This window comes from Homo sapiens, chromosome 5 (genome assembly GCF_000001405.40).
Source record: "Homo sapiens chromosome 5, GRCh38.p14 Primary Assembly".
Classification (NCBI taxonomy): Eukaryota; Metazoa; Chordata; class Mammalia; order Primates; family Hominidae; genus Homo; species Homo sapiens.
Genome location: NC_000005.10, coordinates 2,162,304 through 2,183,230, shown reverse-complemented (window position 1 = coordinate 2,183,230; position 20,927 = coordinate 2,162,304). Strand labels below are relative to the sequence as shown.

General features: G+C 51.3%; 3 annotated features.

The window, feature by feature from the left end:
* Positions 2,499 to 2,668: an enhancer, noted in NCBI's record as "experimental_83940 CRE fragment used in MPRA reporter constructs". NCBI's record gives its function as "activates a minimal promoter by MPRAs in K562 erythroleukemia cells, with activity observed for both the introgressed and non-introgressed 5:2180762 variant alleles {active_cell/tissue: K562}" and the evidence as "EXISTENCE:reporter gene assay evidence [ECO:0000049][PMID:34662402]".
* Positions 7,033 to 7,533: an enhancer, noted in NCBI's record as "H3K4me1 hESC enhancer chr5:2175812-2176312 (GRCh37/hg19 assembly coordinates)". NCBI's record gives its function as "activates a minimal SCP1, AML or CMV promoter by ChIP-STARR-seq in naive H9 embryonic stem cells {active_cell/tissue: H9 hESC(naive)}" and the evidence as "EXISTENCE:reporter gene assay evidence [ECO:0000049][PMID:30033119]".
* Positions 11,116 to 11,285: an enhancer, noted in NCBI's record as "experimental_83908 CRE fragment used in MPRA reporter constructs". NCBI's record gives its function as "activates a minimal promoter by MPRAs in K562 erythroleukemia cells, with activity observed for both the introgressed and non-introgressed 5:2172145 variant alleles {active_cell/tissue: K562}" and the evidence as "EXISTENCE:reporter gene assay evidence [ECO:0000049][PMID:34662402]".

Below are 20,927 nucleotides of genomic sequence, written 5' to 3'. Positions count from 1 at the left end.
AGTCCTCCCAGCTCCCTGGCCCCTCCTCACCCACCCACCTGACCAGAGCCTCTTCCACTTCCTGCTTCTGTGCCCTGGATGGCTCTGAAGCCCCAGCTCCATCATCTCCACGACAACTTGGAAAAAATGCTCAATGTTAGCATTTCAAATTTTAACTCTATCCTAAATTTATAAATTTATAGCATACCTTTATAGCATGTCAAATGTAGCATCGATGTATATACACCTAAATGTATATACACTTATAAATATCAAGTTTATTTACGTGTGTTGCTGAAAGGATTGATTAACTGCATTAACTAAAGCAGAGTGATCATAAAATGGAAGAAAAAGCAGCTGTTGCAGAAATAAAGCAGCTAAATAATAAAGAGAAAAGGTAAAAGGGCGAAGTAAATGTAATTGAGCACAAATCTTTTCTGTACTGCTTAGGAATTTATTCATCCACAAGTCACAGGAAACCAATTATTAAGCCACTATTTCTTCAGGTAGCGTGAAGTCCATGGATGGGCACCACACACCAGCTCTCACAAATTTACCATCCACCCTTCTCCTGTGTTGACTTTTATCTTCGTGCTTTTTGTCTCATGCTCACCAGACAGCTGCTGCAGCTCCAGACACCACATCCGTAAGAGGATGGGAGGAGGAAGGGCTTTCCCAGCTCACCCGTTCCCTTCAACTCTCCTTGGGACCCTGCAGCAAACTTGTCTTGGATGTCAGAGTCCAGCTCAAACTGTCCACTGCCTGCTGAGAGGGAGGCTGAGAAGCCTGGGAATGGCCTGGTCCAACCAGGGTACATTGGCTCAGGCTGGGCACAGGCCGCCTTGAGCAAAAACAGGTGTTTGCAAGGCAGAAGGCAGGTAACATCCTAGTGACACCCCTGAGAATTCTAGAAGCCCAGCTAAAAGGAGAAATTCAACTTTGATCAGAAGAAGCAAAATACTAGGAGGCACTTATCACTTAGGTCTCCAGGGAGGAGGCCCTGTGCAGGGTGCAGCTGGACAACACGCTTGCTGGTGGCTTTACTGTGGCAGCAGCGTCTGCAGGAGGGGCCACACTGCAGCACCGTCAGCAGGTGGGCAGGGCTGCTCCACACAGGCCATCCCTCTGTCCTCCTCTGTACCCCCTTCACCCCTGGCCACCATGACCTTCACTCCACCTGGCCCATCCCCCTCCAACTGGGCCCCAGTGGGCACCCTGTCCGCTTTGGGACTGCAGTGTCCTCTGGATTCCAGTTCCCTCCATGGTGTCCCCATGTGCCTGACGCTCCAGGACAGATCCTCTGGAAGCCACAGCCTGGTCCCACGCACGAGGTCCTGCTGGGGAAGGGGAGGCCTCATCTTCCCAGGGTCGGGACCCTCCCTCCTGGAAGCCCCTCAGAGCTGCAAGCAGGAAGACATACGGGCTAGAGGCCAGCAACATGGTAGGCATGCAATACCCCCTGCGGTGCCAGGCCCTGGGGTGGTGGACACCAGGTCAAGGCAGAGCCTACCTTCTTTCCTGCGTTTGCTGCACGCGGCAGACCCTGGGCGTGTAGAAGATGCCGGAGACGTACACAACCAGCAAGCGCGCAGGGGCAGCCTGTGTCTGCAGGTGATACGGAGGTCTGTCGTGGGCTGGATGGTGACCCCAGAAGACATTCCCGCATCCAAACTCCAGGAACGTGTGGGTGTGGCCGTGTTTGCATAAAAGGTCTTTGCAGAATAAGTTACGATTTTGAGATGAGGAGGCCATCCTGGATTATGCGGGCCCTAAATCCAATGACAAGTGTCCTTACAAGAGGCAGAGGAGCAGAGAGAGACAGAGGACAGATGGCCTCGTGAAGACAGAGGGAGAGGCTGGAGCAGTGTGTCCACACCTCAGGGGTGCCTGGAGCCCCAGACGCCAGCACAGGCAGGAAGAAGCCACCCCTAAGACTTGGCAGGGACTGTGGGCCTGCTGCCTTCTGGATTCCAGACTTCCGGTCTCCAGCCCCGGAGGAAAATACGCTTCTGCCACTTTAAGCCTGTTTGTGGTCATTTTTTCTGGCGGCTGCAGAGCACACAGAGGGTACAGAGACAGGGAGCATTCAAAGACAGAGACAGACACTGGGTGGAGGGCAGAACCCAGGTGCAGTGTGGTGCTATGTAAGCCAGGCCGGAAAGACCATGAAGATGGGAGGCCAGCTCCGTCCACAGAGGGGAGGAGCAGCACTCTCTCAGACTGCCTTCTGCAGCAGTGCCACCTCTGGAAGTCCGCACGACCTCTCTGGGCCCCGGTCCCCAACTGTAGAAAGGGACAATGACCATGCTTGCCTCATGGAGACACTGTGAGTGTTAAATAAACTAATAAACATAAAACACTTAGGAGCTTTATGTAACAATACTCTCATGAGTTTTCCCTTAATCTCTCAATATAGCCCAAACCGACCCTTTGGATGGAGGGGACTATGAAGGGGCCTCTTGTGAATGACTGAAATGACGACATCTCACCTGCTCTCCATCCTGTACACGACTTCAACAGAAACCGAGCGGAATCGGCCCCGGCTCTGACCATCTCGATGGGCCTCCTGCAATGGATTCCGGAACCACGCTTACATCCTGGAGCGTTTTTGTAAAGCCTGTATGGTCCTCTGTTCACCCTGAGAGCTCGGGGTGGCAGCCTGCTGTTATTTTTCCAGGGGGAAGCTCCAGGGGAGAGCAGCCCCGTATCTCGTGAGAGGACGCGAGCCCAGGTCTGCAGCCTGCAGAGCTGAATGGAATCTGAAAACAGAAAATCTGACTTGTCAAGGGAAATCGAGCTCCCAAAAACACCGTTTTCCTTCATTTGGCCGGGGGGACAGTCTCCAGGTCCCAGACTTCACGGAGAAGGCCGAGGGAGATGCTCTCTCCCCTCTCCTCCCGGAGTGTTGCCGTGAAGGTGGTGGGGGGCCGCGTGGAGCTCTCCTGCCGTGAAGGTGGTGGGGGGCCGCGTGGAGCTCTCCTGCCGTGAAGGTGGTGGGGGGCCGCGTGGAGCTCTCCTGCCGTGAAGGTGGTGGGGGGCCACGTGGAGTCCACGCTCCGGGAGGTGGGTGCCACCCTCTCGCCCCCGAGGTGTCTGCTGGCCGGTATGTTCACGCTTCCTCCTGGGTGCTGAGAACTGAACTTGGTCTTCAAAGGAAACAAGATGTATCGTGAGTGATAACCATGGACAGGCCTGTTTACAAGAGACGCGCAGCCGCTCCTGGAAGGGGGGCTGTAATTATTTCCCGATGTCTCTCCGTGGCTCCGCAGCCTCATGAGGCCCCAGGAACACAAACGGAGTGCAGGCGAAGTCTAGTTCCAGGGCACAGCGCCAGCGAGCCTCAAACCGCCCCGTAAACAGGTGATTTGTATCCTGTAATTGACAACAAAACACTGGCTTCACAAGTGACTATTAAAATATCCTTATGTAAGGAAAGTGTGAGAAGGTGGTTAATAAAATCAGAACAGAGCAGTGTCGCCTAGTGATGGCAGCCCGGCCTCCTGCGGAAGAGTCACCAGCCCGCGGCTGCCACCAGCTTCCCTCCAAGCTGCGCTCACCGCTCATCCTCATGAAGCTTTCAGGAAATGCCACCATCTCTGTTAGGGTTGAGTTTGTAAATTAAAACCTAAGTCGGTGTCCTCTGCATTTTCTGAGCCTCCCGGTCAACTGGAAACCCAGAGCTGTGGAGTGGGGGCCCGGGAGCCTTCTGTAAATGGCTTCTCCGCAGACATAGGTGGAAAGCCCTGTGATCCTGGCTTTGGCTTTGCCACTTCATGCTTTCCAAAATTCCTTCAGCCCTGACGGTGACTGTGGCTCCTTGTGTGTGTGTGATTTTCCCATGTGCTGGACACTTGCTTGCTTGGATGTGGTTTAATTGTGCTGTAAGCTCCTGTGCAATGTGGTCTTATGTTTCCCTAACTCTTTCCCTGTTCTGTAGAAGAGAGTAATTATGCACACAACTGGCACAGTCAGGTTTGCTGGCATCCTGCTGGTCAAGTGAAGCCTGGTTCTCAGCCCAGGGTCTGAGTCAGGGACCCTGCAAGGCACAGAAACCAAGAGGAGCAAAGAACCCATGGCCTTTAAAGCGATCGTTTCGTGGAGAACAGTGGCTCTGAACCCTCCCTCTCCTTGGTGAGGATCTAAGTTCTCACAGGGCAGAGACATGCAGGGACAGAAGTCAAGCCCATCAACCCCAACTCCAGAGGAACACATTGTGGTCACTGCAAGCATTTCCATTTTTCCATGCCGACGCATTGCAATACTGGTCTGGGGCCCTGGTTCTACACTGTCACCTCTCCCCTCCAGGGGAGGCTGTGCGTCTTGCCGCAGGGCCTGGGAGGCCCTGAGGGAGCCCCTCCCACACCTTTGGCTCTGCACCTCCCTGGCAGTGTGCCAAGGCTTGGGCATGAACTGGCCGGGTTTGCAGATGTCCAGGACACCTAGGAAATATCCTCTGCTGTCTGGAGGTGCTGGCGCCTTTCTGCCATGGGGCTTGCCTGCGAGTCCGCCCCACGGCCCCTTCCTGTGGAGCCCAAACCCTCCCAGCCAGGCCAGGTATGCTGGTCAGCGGAAGTGATGGGCACAGCGGGGGACGTCGCCCTGGGTCCCTGGAGCATTGCAGGCCCCCTGTCCATCAGTGTGCAGAGCTGACACCCCAAGGAGCTGGGCCCACAGCACCCACACAGCTCGCGGTAGCAGAAAGCATGGCCATGTCCAGGCACCACCCATGCTGGGAGGGGACGCTGGGTGTTGGGACAATCCAGCGGGGCTCCTCACCCAGACCCAGGCCCAGGGTCAGGGCCTGGTGGCACAGGAAGGCCTGAAGGCTGAGCTGGACTGAGGCTGAGAAAGAGACGGAGGACCGGAGGTTGCCACCCAGGACACAGTGCCCCAATGGGAGGTCAGAGGGGCTTGCACCCAGCGAGCACCACGCAGGGCCAGGCAGCCCAGGAGACCCAGTGAGGCGTGGAGCAGCACAGGGCTCTACGGGGTTCCCAGGGCTCCCTCAGCGCCAGGGCAGGTCACCTCCTTCATCTGAAGGCCTTCAAAGGGCTGGCTCCTAGGCAGCAGCAAGGGAGGAAGGGCAGGCAGGCGGATCACGGATCTGAGACGTCCTGCGTGATCCTTGCAGCAGGGCAGACTTCCTCAATGGTCACGCCCAGCCTGCCACCTCTTCTGGGCTCCCAGCTGCCCCTCAGGCCTGACCCTGCTCCTCCTTCACCTCCGTGTGGCCACCACCCACCTTGCCATTGTCACATGACCTTGGGGATACTCTTCTCTCCATGAGCCCTTGTATTTTAAGAAGGAACTTGGGATTCTGAAAATATCCCTAGGCCTTAAGAAATAAAGGAACAGGCCGGGCATGGTGTCTCACACCTGCAATCCCAGCACTTCGGGAGGCCAAGGCAGGTGAATCACCTGAGGTCAGGAGTTCGAGACCAGCCTGGCCAACCTGGTGAAACCCTCTCTCTATAAAAAATACAAAAACTTGCCAGGCAAGTGGCAGATGCCTGTAATCCCAGCTACTCAGGAGGCTGAGGCAGGAGAATCATTTGAACCCGGGAGGCAGAAGTTGCAGTGAGCCAAGATCACGCCACTGCACTGCAGCCTAGGTGACAGAGTGAGACTGTCTCAAAAGAAAAAAAAAAGAAATAAAGGAACACCTGCTGCCACCCTTCAGGAACTGCAGATGGGCTGAGCAGGGGGGCAGGAGGGTGGGGCGAGGGGACAACCGCTCCACGATGGATCCTGGGTGTCTGAGCCTGGGCTCCTACAGGGCTGGAGGCTGTGGGATGGGATGAGGACTCCAGGATAGTGTGGATGCCTTGGAGGACTTCCTCTCCCCAAGGAAGTAATGCTACTCCCTGAGGTCACTGCTGGACAGTGGACAGAGCGTGGTCACCTGGGCTGCCTCTGGAGCTGGGGCTGGTAGAACCTCAGCACCACTGGGATGTTCACATCTGCATAGAGACTGCCTTCCGCCGGGCAAAAAAGACGAGAAAGGGGCTTTGGTTTAGGGGCCCCGAGCTGGGCTGCCTCCTTCTTACCAGGGCCTAGGGTCGCTAAGATCACACCCCAGAGTTCAAAGAAGAAAACTGGATTCTTGCCTTCAATGCACTTGCAGCCAACTTGGAAAATTTTATACATTCTTCAACCCCCGTCTTTCTATCAGCTGCTTGTTAAACGTAGCTACACAGCTACGTGGGCTTTCTGTACAGCAGATTATTTAAATCATTTGCTGAAAAGCTGTACTTTATTCACATTTAAATTCAGTTATTTGAAATAAATTTACCTTTAAATCATGTGTACATTACAGATCATAGTAATTATGATTAGGAAATATGTCAGGCACTGACAAATAAATCAACAAGTGATCAAATGATAAGTTGGCCATTGATGTCTGACTCACTTTTTAATCCAGAATTCCATCTGCAATACTCAACGTGTGTTCAAAGGTCCAGGTATCTCTGTACACCACCTCAACTTGCTCAGGCAGAACTACCCCTGTCTCCAAGTCAGAGCACTGAATTCCATATGCCTTTAATTCCATGCCTACCTCATCTGCTTGTTCCAAGGAACAAAGAAGAAAGATGGAGAGATTTCCACACTGCTTAGCATTTAGAACCTGTATAATATATTGTTTTCTTCCTGTTTCTCAGGATCTCTGTAAATGCCTCAAATCACAAGTTACTTCGGTATTGCTTTACCTTACAAGAAAAACAGGCGAGAAGAAAGTAACTGGTAATTATCCGTTTAAGTAATTAAGAAAATTGATTAACAGACAGAAGTATTCTTTCTGAAGGAATTTTAAAAGAGATTTCTACTACCTGCTGCACCATTTATAAAATAGCATAAGGGAATGTCAAGAAAAATTAATGGAGTAATTTCTTAAATCTGATGAGAGAGAGAGGCCTGGAGAGAGAGACGAATTCCCTGGTTCCGACGGTTCCCCTGTCCGGGCGGTCGTCTCCAGGCCGGCAGCATCAGCATCACCTGGGAACCCGCTGGAAATGCAAATCCCTGCCCCTCCAGCCCTGGGGAGTCTGAAACTTGTGGGAGGCCTCCAGCAGATCTCCACGTGCACCAGTTTGAGAACCCCTGCCCTAAATCCTGGCTTGGGGCCATCCCTTGGGGCCACCCCTGCTGCAGCCACCTCCCACTCGCTGCCGGCCGGCTCAGGGCAGTGTGGAGGGAGGATGGCTTTCCCCGGTCCCACCATCGGCGTGGTCGCCAGGGGTGCTGCCCAGGCCAGCGCCGTCCTCACCGTTCCTCCGGGGACTGGCAAGGAGCTGCGAGCCAGGCGGGAGCCCGCGAGGACGGGCAGCTCCCTCGGGACCGGTGGGCTCTGTGTTGCCGTCTCCAAAGCCAGAAGCGGTGAGCACTGAGTGAAATAAAAACAAAGCTGGGAGCTCTTCTCTCCAAGGGTTGGCTCCCCAACACCTGTGCCGCAGGTGCCTGGGGGACGTGTTCCTGTCTGAAATTCAGATTTCTAGCCTGAATTCTAGAGGTCTGATGCGGACTCCCTGCTTTGGTGAGATTCTACAAATGAGCCAGGGACAGGCCACCGATGATGGCATCAGCCACCCTGGGGACAAGAGAAGGCCCGAGAGCAAACAGAGTCCATCCTAAGGCCCTTTTCTTCCAAATTAATGTAGAAATTTAAGCCACTTATAATAATAATAAATTGAGAAAGTAACAAACATTAGCAACATCCTAATTATAAAAATACAAAATCATTAAGAACTGTAAGCAGCATAAAAGTTGCTTTTGAATCTGATGAAATGACTACACAGATTAACATGCAGGGATGCGGTGTGTTTTGGGGGCTGTAAGGGAGGGGCTGTGGGAACCTGAACTGCTCTAAATCACAATCTTTCCATCAGTGCATTCTCAGCACAGAGAAGGATAGCACGGAAATCGACCACAGCACCCCTCACCCTGGGTCCTGCACAGTGGGGCCACATTATCGGTCAGTCTGCAGCCGGGAGGGCAGCTCAGGCCGGACGCAGAGCGCAGCTCTGGGAGCCGGGGGAGCCGCGCAGCACGGAGCGCCAGGTTCTGGGCCATCCGTCGCTCATGGGGTGTCAAAGCTCTTTCCAGATAATTTAAAGTTTTAAGGAAAAGCAAAAAAGGGCATAAAATTTCAGAAAATATATCTGTGGAGATTTATGTGAACTTTGGATGGGGGAGATATTTTTAAACATGGCCCCAAATGCGGAAAATCTCCAAAAATCAATTTGGCAGGTTTGGCTAAAAGTAAAAAGCGAGCACATAAGAAAGCAAATGTATATAAAAAAAAAAAGTCAGTTCACAATTTAAACAAAAATGCTAATAAGCATTAATATTAGAAAAAGTATCCATCCATGCCACACATGATTCCAAAAGCGGGGACTAGATCAGAGTGGGGAAGGGAGCACCCCCTCACCCACCGCAGCACAGAGAATCCAGGTCCTGGGAGGGCCACCAGGAGCAGGGCAGCCTCAGGGCCAGCCTCTCCGACCGTCCAGGCTCTAACTGCAGCCTCGAGCAGGGACCACTCCTTTGAGTCCGCCAAGAACAAGCTCAAAAGCGCAACTCCAGAAATATTCATTTCAGGATGTTCAAAGCAAAAAATCGGAAGCACTAAGTACACCATCCAAGAAAAGAGCCTAAAGAAGAAACAAAACCACACCGTTTGGGGCACTCTGCGCTGTGAAAATGAGGCTCAGGGAAATTAGGGGAGATAAGATCAAGACTTCTCCTAATGGGAAAAGTTTAGAAAGCATTGCAAAAAGTGCTACCTTTTTGTGATCACACATCTGAAAAAAAAATAGAGAACATAAGAGTAAGAACTTATGATGATACCTATAAAGATGCACACTCACAAATTATGTTTTGTATTTTCACCTCTTATCTGATTTCTATTTGACAACATGATGCCATTTTTACAGTTACTATACTTATACTAAAAAAATTAAAATGATAGTAGAAGAAAATAAACTTCTGAAGGTTCAATTTAACTTCTCTATAGAACAAGGAAACAGCGATTTCACAAAGCTCTGGAAAAACACTCAGTGGCTTGCCTGAAACACAGCCTTCTCCCCCAACCCCAGCAGATGTTCATGGTAGAAACAGCACGGAACTTCGTAACCCTGCCCCATCTACCATCCAAAGGTGCTCTATGGATAAAAAGAGATTTTTTTAGAAACACCTTGACATATGGAAAAGTTAATGTGGATATTCAAAAATAAAGTGTTATTATGACTCCACATCTCATAAAATTCACAGGAATGAGTGCCAAGACAGGATTTATTTTTAAGGATTTTGTTCATCCTTATCACCTGGATTCTTGAAGTCTATGGCAGTGACTCTCAAAGACCCTTGCAGGGTCTTGGTGATCCTACATGGTTTTTAAACAAGCCTCTTTGGAGAAGAGGCTGGCCCTTGTGTCTGTAGGAGCCCTGGGCCCCAGCAGGCCATCTAAATCTTCCTCATGTCAGGACATCGGCTGGCTATAAATAACCTAGACTTCCATGTCTGTGCGGCTCGGTAATTTCTCTTCCTTTCCCCCTAGGGCTGAATACTCCTTCTACAAATAGTAGCAGAGAGCCCTGTGAAGCCCCTTTAAAAGCGTCCACAGGCTGCCAAGACTTCACAACCACAGATAAGATGAATAATTTCAGGCACAGTCCTGCTCTGCCATGGCCCCCGATTCGTCAACTCCAGGGCTCCAGAGAAACCCCAGCACAATTGCCAACAGGCTTCACTGAAATGAAAACATCATTTCTCCTTCCGTCCATCTCAGGGAAGCCTGGAACTGCCTCTGATAATTAATCCACTGAGGGAAATCAATACTACAACTGGTTGAAGACGAAACAACCCGTAGCAAAATAAACTTGCCAATGATGCTTCAGCAGTTTCTGCAAGCACACACTGTCGGCTGCAGATGTGGAATCTAAATAAATGTTGCTTTCTCTCCAAAGATAATCCCACCCAGAAAGTCAATTACCCTGAACCATTTTATGTTCTAGGCCGCTTGTGTTATAAATACAGCCTTTGTTCTCCCAATGTGGGCTAGTTGGCTTCCTTTTCCCATTAGAATAGCAAATGAGGCTATAATTTGATAGGTGGAAATAGACACAGAGTTTCAGGTGTGAATGATTGATGAACAATGAAGAAAACACAGATTCATCCCATGCGCCCTTTGTAAATACAGGGTGAGTTTTTGGGATTTGTGTTTGTTTGTCGTTGGCTTAGGTTTTTGATTTTTGCTTTTTTAATTTAATTTTTCATTAGAAAGGCAGGTTGAGCCAGCAGCACAAACTGAATCATAGTTTAGCCCATGGCTCAAGGTAGAGTGTAGTGGCTTCACCAAGTACAGAAACGACTGAGGGCCAGGCCATTTGTTCACAAGAAGCAATGGTACATCCAGTGTTTGATGGGCCACGGTTCATGCAGAAATGAAATTTGAATAAGTAAATCCACCATGGCAGAGTATTAGGTTTCCATGAGAAAAGTGTCACAGCAAAGGTCCTGCCCGGCCGCCTCTGGGTCACCTGTTGGCTGACACACCTGAGGCTGGCTGGGCTGCACAACCTGCCCAGGCAGATGGAAAGGGGAGAGGCGACACCTGTGCTGGGCAGGCACCCCTGTGCTGGGCGGGCACCCCTGTGTTTGGCACTTTCATGTGTTCTCTTTACCAATTCTTACAGTAACTCCTGCAGCAGACCTGCAGTAGTTCAGGGATGGAGTCAGACCACCCAGCTCTGAATCCTGGCTTTGCCTCTTGAGAGCTGGGCAACTCTGGGCAAGTTGTGTGCCCTCTCTGTGCTTCATTTTCCTCTTCTATGAGAATAGTGCCTCTCTCATGCGGTTGCCATGAGGATTCATAGTGTTACGTGCAATAGGGCTTAGAACAGTATTGGGGTGTTCCTGGAGCTCGAAAAGTGTTGTTTTTTGTTTGTTTGTTGTTTTTTGTTTGTTTGGTTTCTTTGTTGTTGTTGTTGTTTTGAGACAGAGTCTCAGTTGCTCAGGCTGGAGTGCAGTGGTGCAATCACAACTCACCGCAGTCTCAACCACCGGGGCTCAAGTGATCCTCCTGCCTCAGCCTCCTCAGTAGCTGGGACTACTGACACCACAGTCAGCTATTTTTTTTTTTTTTAATTTTTGTAGAAACAGGATCTCTCTCTGTTACCCAGGCTGGTCTCAAGCTCCTGGGCTCAGGCAATCCTCCTGCCTCGGCCTCCCAAAGTGCTGGGATTGCAAGCGTGAGCCACCACGTGCAGCCTGTTATTCCTGTTGGTATCCCAGAAAGACTTGCTCGAATTTACACAGGAAGGGTGAGGCAAAGAAGAACCTGACCATGTCATTTAGGCTCCAAATTTCATCCTGTTCCCATTGTTTCCAGAAGCAGAGAGAAGGCAAATGAAGACTTTGGCATGAGCTTGCTTTAGGAGCAGCTGGGTAGGTAGGTAGGTGAGGCCTCGAGTTCTTTTGAAAACTGAAGCTACTTTGGAAGCAGCCACATATTGTTCTTGCCTTCTAATCCCTCTCCTTCCATCTAAAGGAACAATATATAATTCCCTGTTTAAACTAAGTTCTCCTTTATACAATGAATACAATCATTGAATGAAAAATTGGAAGAAGACAAAGAAAATATAGAGAAAAGGTGTTTCATGTTGTCATTGAAGAGAAAGAAGAAATACCCCCATTATCAGAGACGGCCACTGCTGTGGAAAGTCTCCACTCGCCCTGCGTGAACCTGGGTGGCTGCTGTGACATCCTTTGTAACTGAAGTAAAGTAAGATAATCACAGGCCTTTTGAGCCACAAATTGAGCCCAATTCTGAAGCCATAGTCTGTTCTGTTGGTTTTTAAAACCAGCAACAAAAAACAAAAATGCATCTCTGCTGGGGAGAAGGAGCATCATCCCACGTAGGGACAGACACTCCAACCATGGCGCTCCATCTTCATCCTCAGTTCCCAAATATATTCACATGTGTAACGTCTTCCCTGAGCTCTCCGCCAGTATGTCTCCCTAGCGTAGAATTCTGTGATGAAGTTTTAACCCACCTCCAAACCTCTTCCTTCATAAACTTTCACGTTTGCATTTTGCAAAAGGCACCAGCCGCAGTCATGCTTAAAAAGAGGTGATGCTAATTATGCACACATACCCCGAGCTGCAGGATAATCCATTAGCCACACCTCCCTTCCTTGCAAACAACGTTTGAGGAAGATGCTCCCTATCTCAGAGCCAAGGGCTCAGTTCATTAGAGCTGAGCTCAGAAAGCCTGTCTGGGATTCCTCTCCCTCTTCTCCCTCCTTTCAACACACTGAAGCTTTCCCTGGAGTTCAGAACAGATTGAAATGATTTTGGAGTCTCCCTCTGGGGAGACGTGAAAGCTCTTTTCGTAGCAGAGGTTGGTTTTCTGCTATTGATCTGTTCCCTGCTCACCTGCAGCCACAGTGCCCTTCGTTTATTTATGAGTCACAGCAACGCCAGATCCAATTATAATCATTACCTTGACGAATGCTGTAACCCGCGGGTAGAGCATCTCCAGGCATGGCTGCCCCTGGGTTCCCACTCACCGAGGGAGCTCAGCCTGTCTCTCTCTGGTCTCCTCAGGGTGTCCCAGGGAGGAGAGAACCCTGGGAGGAAGGCCTGGAGGGGATGGGCCTGGGCCCAGAGGGTGTGTCCAGTTCCTGCTGTGGCTTTCAGCGCCCCAGGTTTGCATCTTCATTTCCAGTGCAGGAGAAAGAAGCTGAGGCCCTCCAGCACCGTGGCCAGGGGACGCTGTGCAGGGAACTCAGCGAGACGCTCCTTAGACACAGACGAGGGTCCTCCGGGCAGCCAAGGCGGCTGCAGACAGCAAAGTCTGGCACGCTGCCCAGCCTGGCGTGACCATGGAGAGCCTGCAGGGAGGCAGGAGGAGCCCTGAGGAGGAGCGGGCGATGCCCTCCGCCCTGTCCTTAGCTCCAACCGCATTCCCCAAGCCGCCCTGGCTTGGGAAGGGAGGAGTCGCCTCCCCGCACACGCCCCTGCTCTATGGCCATGCAGATGTCCACCAGGAGCCTTTGTGGGACCCTCGTGGAAAATGGGTGGGCACCGGGGCTGCTGCGAGGCGGCCTGGATACCTCCCTGCAAGGCTGTTATTCCCCGGCTACAAGTGGTCGTCATTTCTGAGTGGCCCGAGTGGCGAGGCTTTGGCCCGCCTTGTCCACCTAAAAGATCATTAATCACCACCCCAGTTTATAAATCAAGGAGGCCGACTCGCCGCGCCACGATGGGGTCAGGCGCCCGGGAGTACTTAGCCAATTCCCAGCCCGGCCGCGCCCTCCTCTCCTCCGCAGCGGCCCATCCATCATCCCGCACCCACCGAGGCAGCGCTGCTGACAAGAGTGCCCGCCAGCCAGACAATGTGGTCCCCCAAGACTTGGGGGCCGGAGCTCTTTAAAATTTCCAACCAGTTCCTTAGCCTTTTGTGTTAACAAAACCTATTCATTTCAGGATTTGGCAGTTCAAATTATTTCAGACAAGACCCCAAGACAAATCGTTATATGATAGAGTCACACGGCGCGAGTGGCTGCGACAGAGGGATGGATGCTGTTCACTGAGGGCGGGGAGAAAAGGAGCAAGGGAGGCCCTCGACTGGGCTGGCGTCCTGGCCAGGGTCCTCGGCTTCCCCAGGCGGCACTGGCCCACCAAAGGCTGCCTGTGCTCAAACTGTGCACATTTTAGAGTTTGTTTTCTGTGATGGGTAAACATGAAGAACTCAGCAAGGAGCTATTTTTCCTCCTATATTGCATTACCTGCTAAGTTGCTTTTACATATTTCAAACAGAGTTGTTGGGGTCTTTTTATTATTATTATTATTCCCTGCAAAGAGAAAACATAAATTGTCTACTGTCCAGGAGAAAGTGTGGGAGGTAAGGGTAAGTGGAGCCGACAGCTCCCATTTCCCTTGCTCCCGCGGGAGAGTGATGGGCGGGGCTGGAAAACTGTGTTTGAAGCAACGTCGTGACGTGCGATGACCTCCCGTTCACATGACGATGAGCAGAACAGCCAGTGGGACCTTTCTCCTCAGTCTCTTCGGGAGAAACAGGATGGGTATGCGGGAGGACAGGGAGAAGGGGCGGAAGGCCTTTTGCAGGACCTTTGGACTCAGAAGCTAATGAAAGCATAATTGCAAGGAGTAGGTGGAGGGCCTGATAAAAGCCGGCCCTGGGTGTGGCCCACCCCGATCCTAATTCCAATTTGTGACCCTCATCTGTTTTGCATGAACAGCCCAAGCCACAGGCCCATGCGGGAATACCCGGCCCCCTGCCAGGGTGGCAGCAGATCCTGCCAGGGATGTCCCTTCATCAGGGAAGCCATCCAGAGTGTGACACAAACATTCTTTCAATCTCTCATTGCTTTGAATGAAGGGAAAGAGCCAGGGCACATCCATAAAGAACAGATGGAGTGTGGACGTGCTTGGCCACCCTCATATCTCCGAGAATGCTCTGCGTCCAGGGAGGCGCAGTGCCAGGGTTTGGGGATCCACTGGAGACGACCAAAGCGCTGTCCTCACACATTGTACCTCCTTCCCTCTCTCCTCTTCAGCTAAAAGGAAATATAGTTCAGGTTTATTACTTATTAATTTTGTTGCTTCATCTTCCTGGAAAAACCGTCACTGTCCCTGCCCAAGAATATTCACAAGCTTGTCACCCCTGACAGGCTCCAATGTGACTGACTCATTTGCCCTAAGATGCATGGAGTCCTGGGGCTGCTCCTGCCTGCTCCTTGTCCACCACACTGTCCCATCAAGGGAGGCTTCAGAGGGACAGGGAACAGGACTTCTGTCTTTGAACATGATCTTTTTTTTTTTTTGAGATGGAGTCTCGCTCTGTTGCCCAGGCTGGAGTGCAGTGGGGTGATCTCGGCTCACTGCAAGCTCCGCTTCCCAGGTTCACGCCATTCTCCTGCCTCAGCATCCCAAGTAGCTGGGACTACAGGCACCCGCCACCAAGCCCGGCTAATTTTTTTTGTATTTTTAGTAGAGATGGGGTTTCACTATGTTAGCCAGGATGGTCTCGATCTCCTGACCTTGGGATCCACCTGCCTCGGCCTCCCAAAGTGCTAGGATTACAGGCCTCAGCTACCGCGCCTGGCCAAACATAATCTTTACAAAGTAAATCAACGGCTTCTCTGAATCTCTCAGGCAGGACTTGGTTTTCTGTCCCCACGCACCTGGGCACCTCCCTTCCCAGGGCAGCGCTGTCTGTGAAGCCTCTTCCTTTTGTGCGCAGATTTAAAAATAGCACCATTTCCCTGCGCAAATCTGGCATGGAGCAGTTTTCACGGTCATTTCTCTGAGGGAGACATCAATGTTGCCCAGCTCCTCCCGGCATAGAGCCCAGAAGCAGCCATCATGCTCACACCCGCTCCTTCGGCCAACAAGGACATGCTCTGAACGTCCTAGTTTTAAAGTTCGCCTGGCAGCCTTTTAATGAACACAGTGTCATTAAATAATTAAATTAATCATCCTCCTTTTCTCCTGGAAGGAGGGGTAGACTGTGTGTGCCGGGATCACATGGGCCAGTCCCTTCCAATGTCTGCCTGGCTCCAGTGGAGGCAGCACACACGGCCCCTGGGGTTCTTCACCTTCCCGCACCCTCTGCATCAGCAGGAATCCCCTCTCCACTGCAAGCGGCTTTCAGGATAGCGTTGGATAAAGTTCATTCACTTGAGACTCTAAATGATTCGAAAACATGAAAACATGAAATGCTGACTATGTCGCTGTCATTTATCCTTAGCAAATAATAAGAGTTCCCTTTTTGCTCATTAAAGAAATATCTAATTGTGAATGCAAGGCATCCGTGAATGCATTCATTTTTATTTTTATTATTTGGCTACATAACAAATTATCACAACCTGGCAACTTAAAACAACCTGCGTCTATTCTTCTGTGGTCTTGTGGGTCCTTTGCCTTGTGGGCCCTCCGCCTTGGGTCACACCAGGCTGCAGGCAAAGCATCAGCCGGGCTGAGTCCCCATCTGGAGTGGGGCAGAACCAGCTGGGGCTCTCCTTGGGCCCCATAGCCACCTGCAGTTCCTTGTCATGCAAGGTCACCTGACACAGCCGCCCACTTTGAGGGGCCCATGGGAGTCTCCAGGCTGCTGAGACTGAGTCTTTGGAACAAAACACAATCACAAGACAGACATCCTATCCCTGGGGCTGCCTCTTCTGGCTGGAGGCAAGTGGCTCATGCTCAAGGAGGAGACGGATCCTGGAGGCCCGGCCATAGGGCCACCTGAGGGTCCGTGTGCTGTGGGAGTGAGCTCTTTCCACACACGCACTCCCACATAGATTGCAGACAGCCCTTCTCCACAGACGGCGTTTCTAGAGCCTGCTTTGTCTTCATATCAACAGAGGGAGCTCCTGCCTCCCCCAGGTCCACAGACTGGACAGTCTGGTCAACCTCGTGCAGGATGACTGTGGCCGTCCCCATGTCTGATGCGGCCCAGGAAAGATGCTTGCTGAGTCACTTTTACTCTGTCTCCATCCAGGGCTGTCAGGGTCCGGAGGCACCTCCAAAGTGGATGTGTGTGATGTTTACTGAGCAGCTGCTGTGTGGAAAGGGGCCCCTGGGAGCTGGGGCAGTGGTGGAGAGCTGAAGACAAGCCTGTCCTCAGGGGCTGCTTGCTGGGGTCTCCTCTCCACTGGCCCCCCACACTCCCACCACAGTCAGCAGCTCCCAGCGTGTGTGAGCAGAATCAGTGTTCTCAGGCAAGTCACTCAGTGTCTGGAACCTCACCTTTCTCCCTCGACGGGGCGGGTTAACCATCTCCAAGGAGTCCTCCTGGAGGAGCATGAGCTGGATGCAGGTGGAGTGCTGGGCGCCGCAGCAGGCGCCCATGTCATGAGATTTCCGTGTCTGACATCCAGTGATGCCCAGCGGCTGCCCACAGTTGTCAGGGGCTGTGTTCCTCCTTCCCTGTGGTCCAGCCTCGGTAGTATCTTACCAGGGCAAATCCAGCCCATCAGATGAGGAGCCAGGCTTGGCCTCCATGCTGGCACCCCTCAGGCCCACAGCTCCCTGCAAAAGGCGGCTTCTCCCAGGCACCTGGGGAACTTGAGGCGGCTGCTGTGTTCCAACCTGGCAGATTCATGCTCTGGGCAAGTCCCCTCTGCCTGACCCCACATAGCCCAGAGCCCCTCAGCTGGCTACATAGACAACAGTCTCAATGTGGGTCATGTGAGGTTATTTAGAGCACCGTGGCCCTGTTGGCCCATGTTCTAAATCACGTCCTCTTTGGCAGCTTGGTTTCTCTCCTCATGCCCCAAGTCCAAGTGGCCTTTGTGTCCTTCCGGCTTCTGCCAGAGATCTGTGTGTGTGCACACATGTGTGAGTGTGAGTGTGCCTATCATATACACTGAGAAGGTGTGAGTGAGCGGGTGTGTGAGCAGGTGTGTGAGCAAGTGTGTACCAGTGTTTGCATATGTGTGCAGAGCGAGGAGAAGGTACTTCTCCTCATGTGACTCCCCGCCTTGGTCCATGTCCTCACAGGCTCACAGTGTTCCTGGATCCAACAAGAACAGGTGAGGGGGCTGGGCACATCGTGTTCAAAGTAGGGAGTGGGTATCTCCAATTTTACGATGAGAAATCCACACTAAACTTGGAGCCGTGGTCTGTTAAGTGGGGCCCCAGCCAGAAGCTTCAGTCTCTTGGAAACTTGTTGAAATGCACTTTCCAGGGCCGGACTCAGTCCCTTCTGACTCGGAGGCCCGGGGGTGGGGTCCACGACCCCGGCTCAGCTTCTAGGGGCTTCCAGTGCACTCTCAGCTCTGAGCCCAGTGGCTCCGCCCTCAGACCAGGCTCCTCCAGCTCCAGATCTCAGCTGGTGTCGCACACGTGGGCACATGCACACTCACACACGTGCATACACACGTGGGCACATGCACACTCACACACGTGCATACACACGTGGGCACACGTTCAGAAGAAACAAGCCCCTCACAGGAGCTGTCACCATTCACATCAACCACCCTCGGAGTGCGTGTCCAAAATGTATTTTTCTATGCCATCTTTACTGGCATTTATTTTTTTATGGTATTATAATACTATTTAGCACACTTTCATGAAAAAACTATAGACCAAGGAGAAGCCATAATACACAGAGTATGAATTATGAAATTATAAAATAAGTTTTCTAGGCACATTTAATTAGGGGCAGAACGGGAGTAGCAGTATCTCTATTTGTAAGTTGGAAAAAGAAAACAGAAAGACGTGCTTATGCTCCTTTACATCTTCACAAAAATAGTGGGCACTTAAGCCCGTTCAATTGTTAATTCATCAGGAAAAATAGTCTTGTGGTGATTCAGGAAAACAAAGTGGCGAGGCAGTGGCCTCCCCCGCAGGCCTGGGACAGCAGGAAGCGCCCCACCAGCTCACTCCTTCCCAGCTCCAGGGGCTTCTGCCTCTATCCTGGGCTCAAGCGTAGACGCCTTGCCTCCAGGCTGGCTCTTGATCTCTAATCCGAATGGGATCCTCAGGCCAGGGTGGATGTCTCCTCATGATGTTGTGTGCTGTACAAATGACCAAGAGTTTAAACTCGGGTCTCGCCATCTGTGGGTTTCACGCTGAAAGCAGGAGCATGAAAAGCAGACGAGAACTCAGCCCAGCAGAAACGTGTGTGGACCGGGATTGAGGCCACTTGTAAAGAAGTGTCTAGAACTTCTGTGAAAGCAGTAATTAGAGATAATACTAAAATACAAACCAGGGAACCAGAGAGCAGGCAGGAAGGACAGCTGTGGGATCTCCAGGCTACGCTGTCAGTGCCAGATGCTGAGTGCTGCTCTCGGGATTCCTGGACCTGGGTGCAGAGCAGAGGTGCCCTGGTGGGGCTCAGGGCCCCAAACAGCAGCAGGCAGACGAAGAAGACATGACCAGTGGGAGAGGAGGCCAGTGAGAGACAAGGAAGACCCCTCTGATGATGTGTCGGGGGCGGAGTCTGGGGCAGGCGTGGGTGACGGGAGAGTGGGCAGGGAAGTGCCAGGTGCTTGACCAGGCCCAGAGGTGCGCAGGGCAGGCGGGAGGGCTGGCAGGTGGAAGGAGTGTGTGGGCTCTTCCTAATTGTAAGGGTAATCTGCCTGAGGGTTTGCAAGGTGCATGGCAGGGGGTCCACGCTCTGAGTAAACAGTCGCCTGGCCGCTGGGCAGGAAGCAGAGGGCCAGAGGCTGCCACAGAGGTCCTGCAGGTGTTAAGGTCCCTGGACCCCGGGGGGGAGCACAGAGAGGGGAGAGAAACGGTGCCCAATGTCCCGTGCAGGTGGCGCCAGTGAATGGGATGGGGGATGAGGAGCAAGAGGAGTTCTGCAGAGCAGGTGCTCCTTAAACTGAGTATCCTCCCTGGGTGAAGAGCTGTCCTGCGAGGCAGAGCCCAGAAAGCAGGAGAGCAAGCTTGGCAGAGCCATCGCTATCCCAGCATCAGGGGAAAGATGGAAGTCCAGCTCTAATGTCACCCTATGTCTTAAAGATAAAATTGTTAAATTACTCAGGGCTCATCTAAAATGCCTGGTCATGTGACCCAGCTCTGGGGGATGTTTTGGGGATCAACATCAGGCCTGGGTTCCCCGTCAGTGAATTGACAGCCACAGAGGCGAGGCCTCGGATGCAACCCTGCAGTCGGGACGGAAAGGCGCCCAGGAGGGTGCCCAGAGCCGACAGATTCCGCCTTCACTGCTTCTCAGTGCTCCTGCCCTTCCTAAGCTGCTGGGAGCATGGCCAGCAGCTTTCCCAGAAAGCAGCAAACACTAGATGGAGAAGATGCAGTGGTCCAGCCAGGTGGACACCCAGCTCCCAGGCAAGGCCCCGCACTTCTGAGCACCATCTCACCACTGCACTCAGCCTTTGTCCCCTTGGAACCCCTCACACGCGGACACCCCAGCTCTCCTCGGAATCCCTCCCACGTGGACACCCCGCACCCAGGCAAGACCTCACCCTTCCCGAGCACCATCTCACCACTGCACTCAGCCTTTGTCCCCTCAAACCCCTCAAGTCATCCTTTAAGTGGAGGCCATCCCCATGTTAGAGATGAGAACACAGTCTGAGAACGGCCAAGCGCCTGGCCTGGATACAGAGCAAGAACCCGCAAGTCCAGAGGGACAAGTGAATCACCGCTCCTGTGGGTTGTAGAGTCCTAGACCAAGAAAACATCTTGTACCAAAAATGCAAAAGCAAACTAAGTTCATTGAATGACTGATGTCATTTAAAATACAAAATCAATAATTGTCCTATGTCAAAAGAGTAAGCATTTGGAAATACAAAGGAGGAAGCAATTCAGTTCACAAAAAATAGATAAAATATCTCTAAAAAAGCATAAGGAAATACAGGACAATATGCTTTTCAAATTAAAGAATTATGTGAAGATACAAGAGAATATTTGAATAAATGACAACAACTCTTGTTCTTAGCTAAAAAGACTCAGCTTAAAAAGATATGATCTATATTTGTTATACATTCCCAATTAAAATAACAATTAGAATCTTTGACCTTTGCTGGTAGGAAAACAGCTTGAATAACATGACATAGGACACAGGACTCTAAAGATCTTCCAGAAACATAAACATTTTTAAATAGTCAGAAAAGTTTTAAATGAAAAGTAATTCAGAGGAGCTGCCTTATCGAACACTGAAATATGTTATAAAGCACAATCAATAAAACTATGCAAAACAGGAGAGAAATCATCACATAGAACAACATAATGAAACAATTCAGAATGATTCATCTAATAAAAGTAATATTTCAGATCACCAAGTAAAAGATTAATAGCTTCTAAAGGATATTGAGACAGTCTACTAGTTAATTAGATAAAGCAGGATGCCTATCTCATGCCTTACAACAAAAGAAATTCCTGCTGGAGCATCAATTTAAGTATAAGAATTTAAAACTCCAAAGACAAAATCATAGATGATAAAGAAACAACTAATC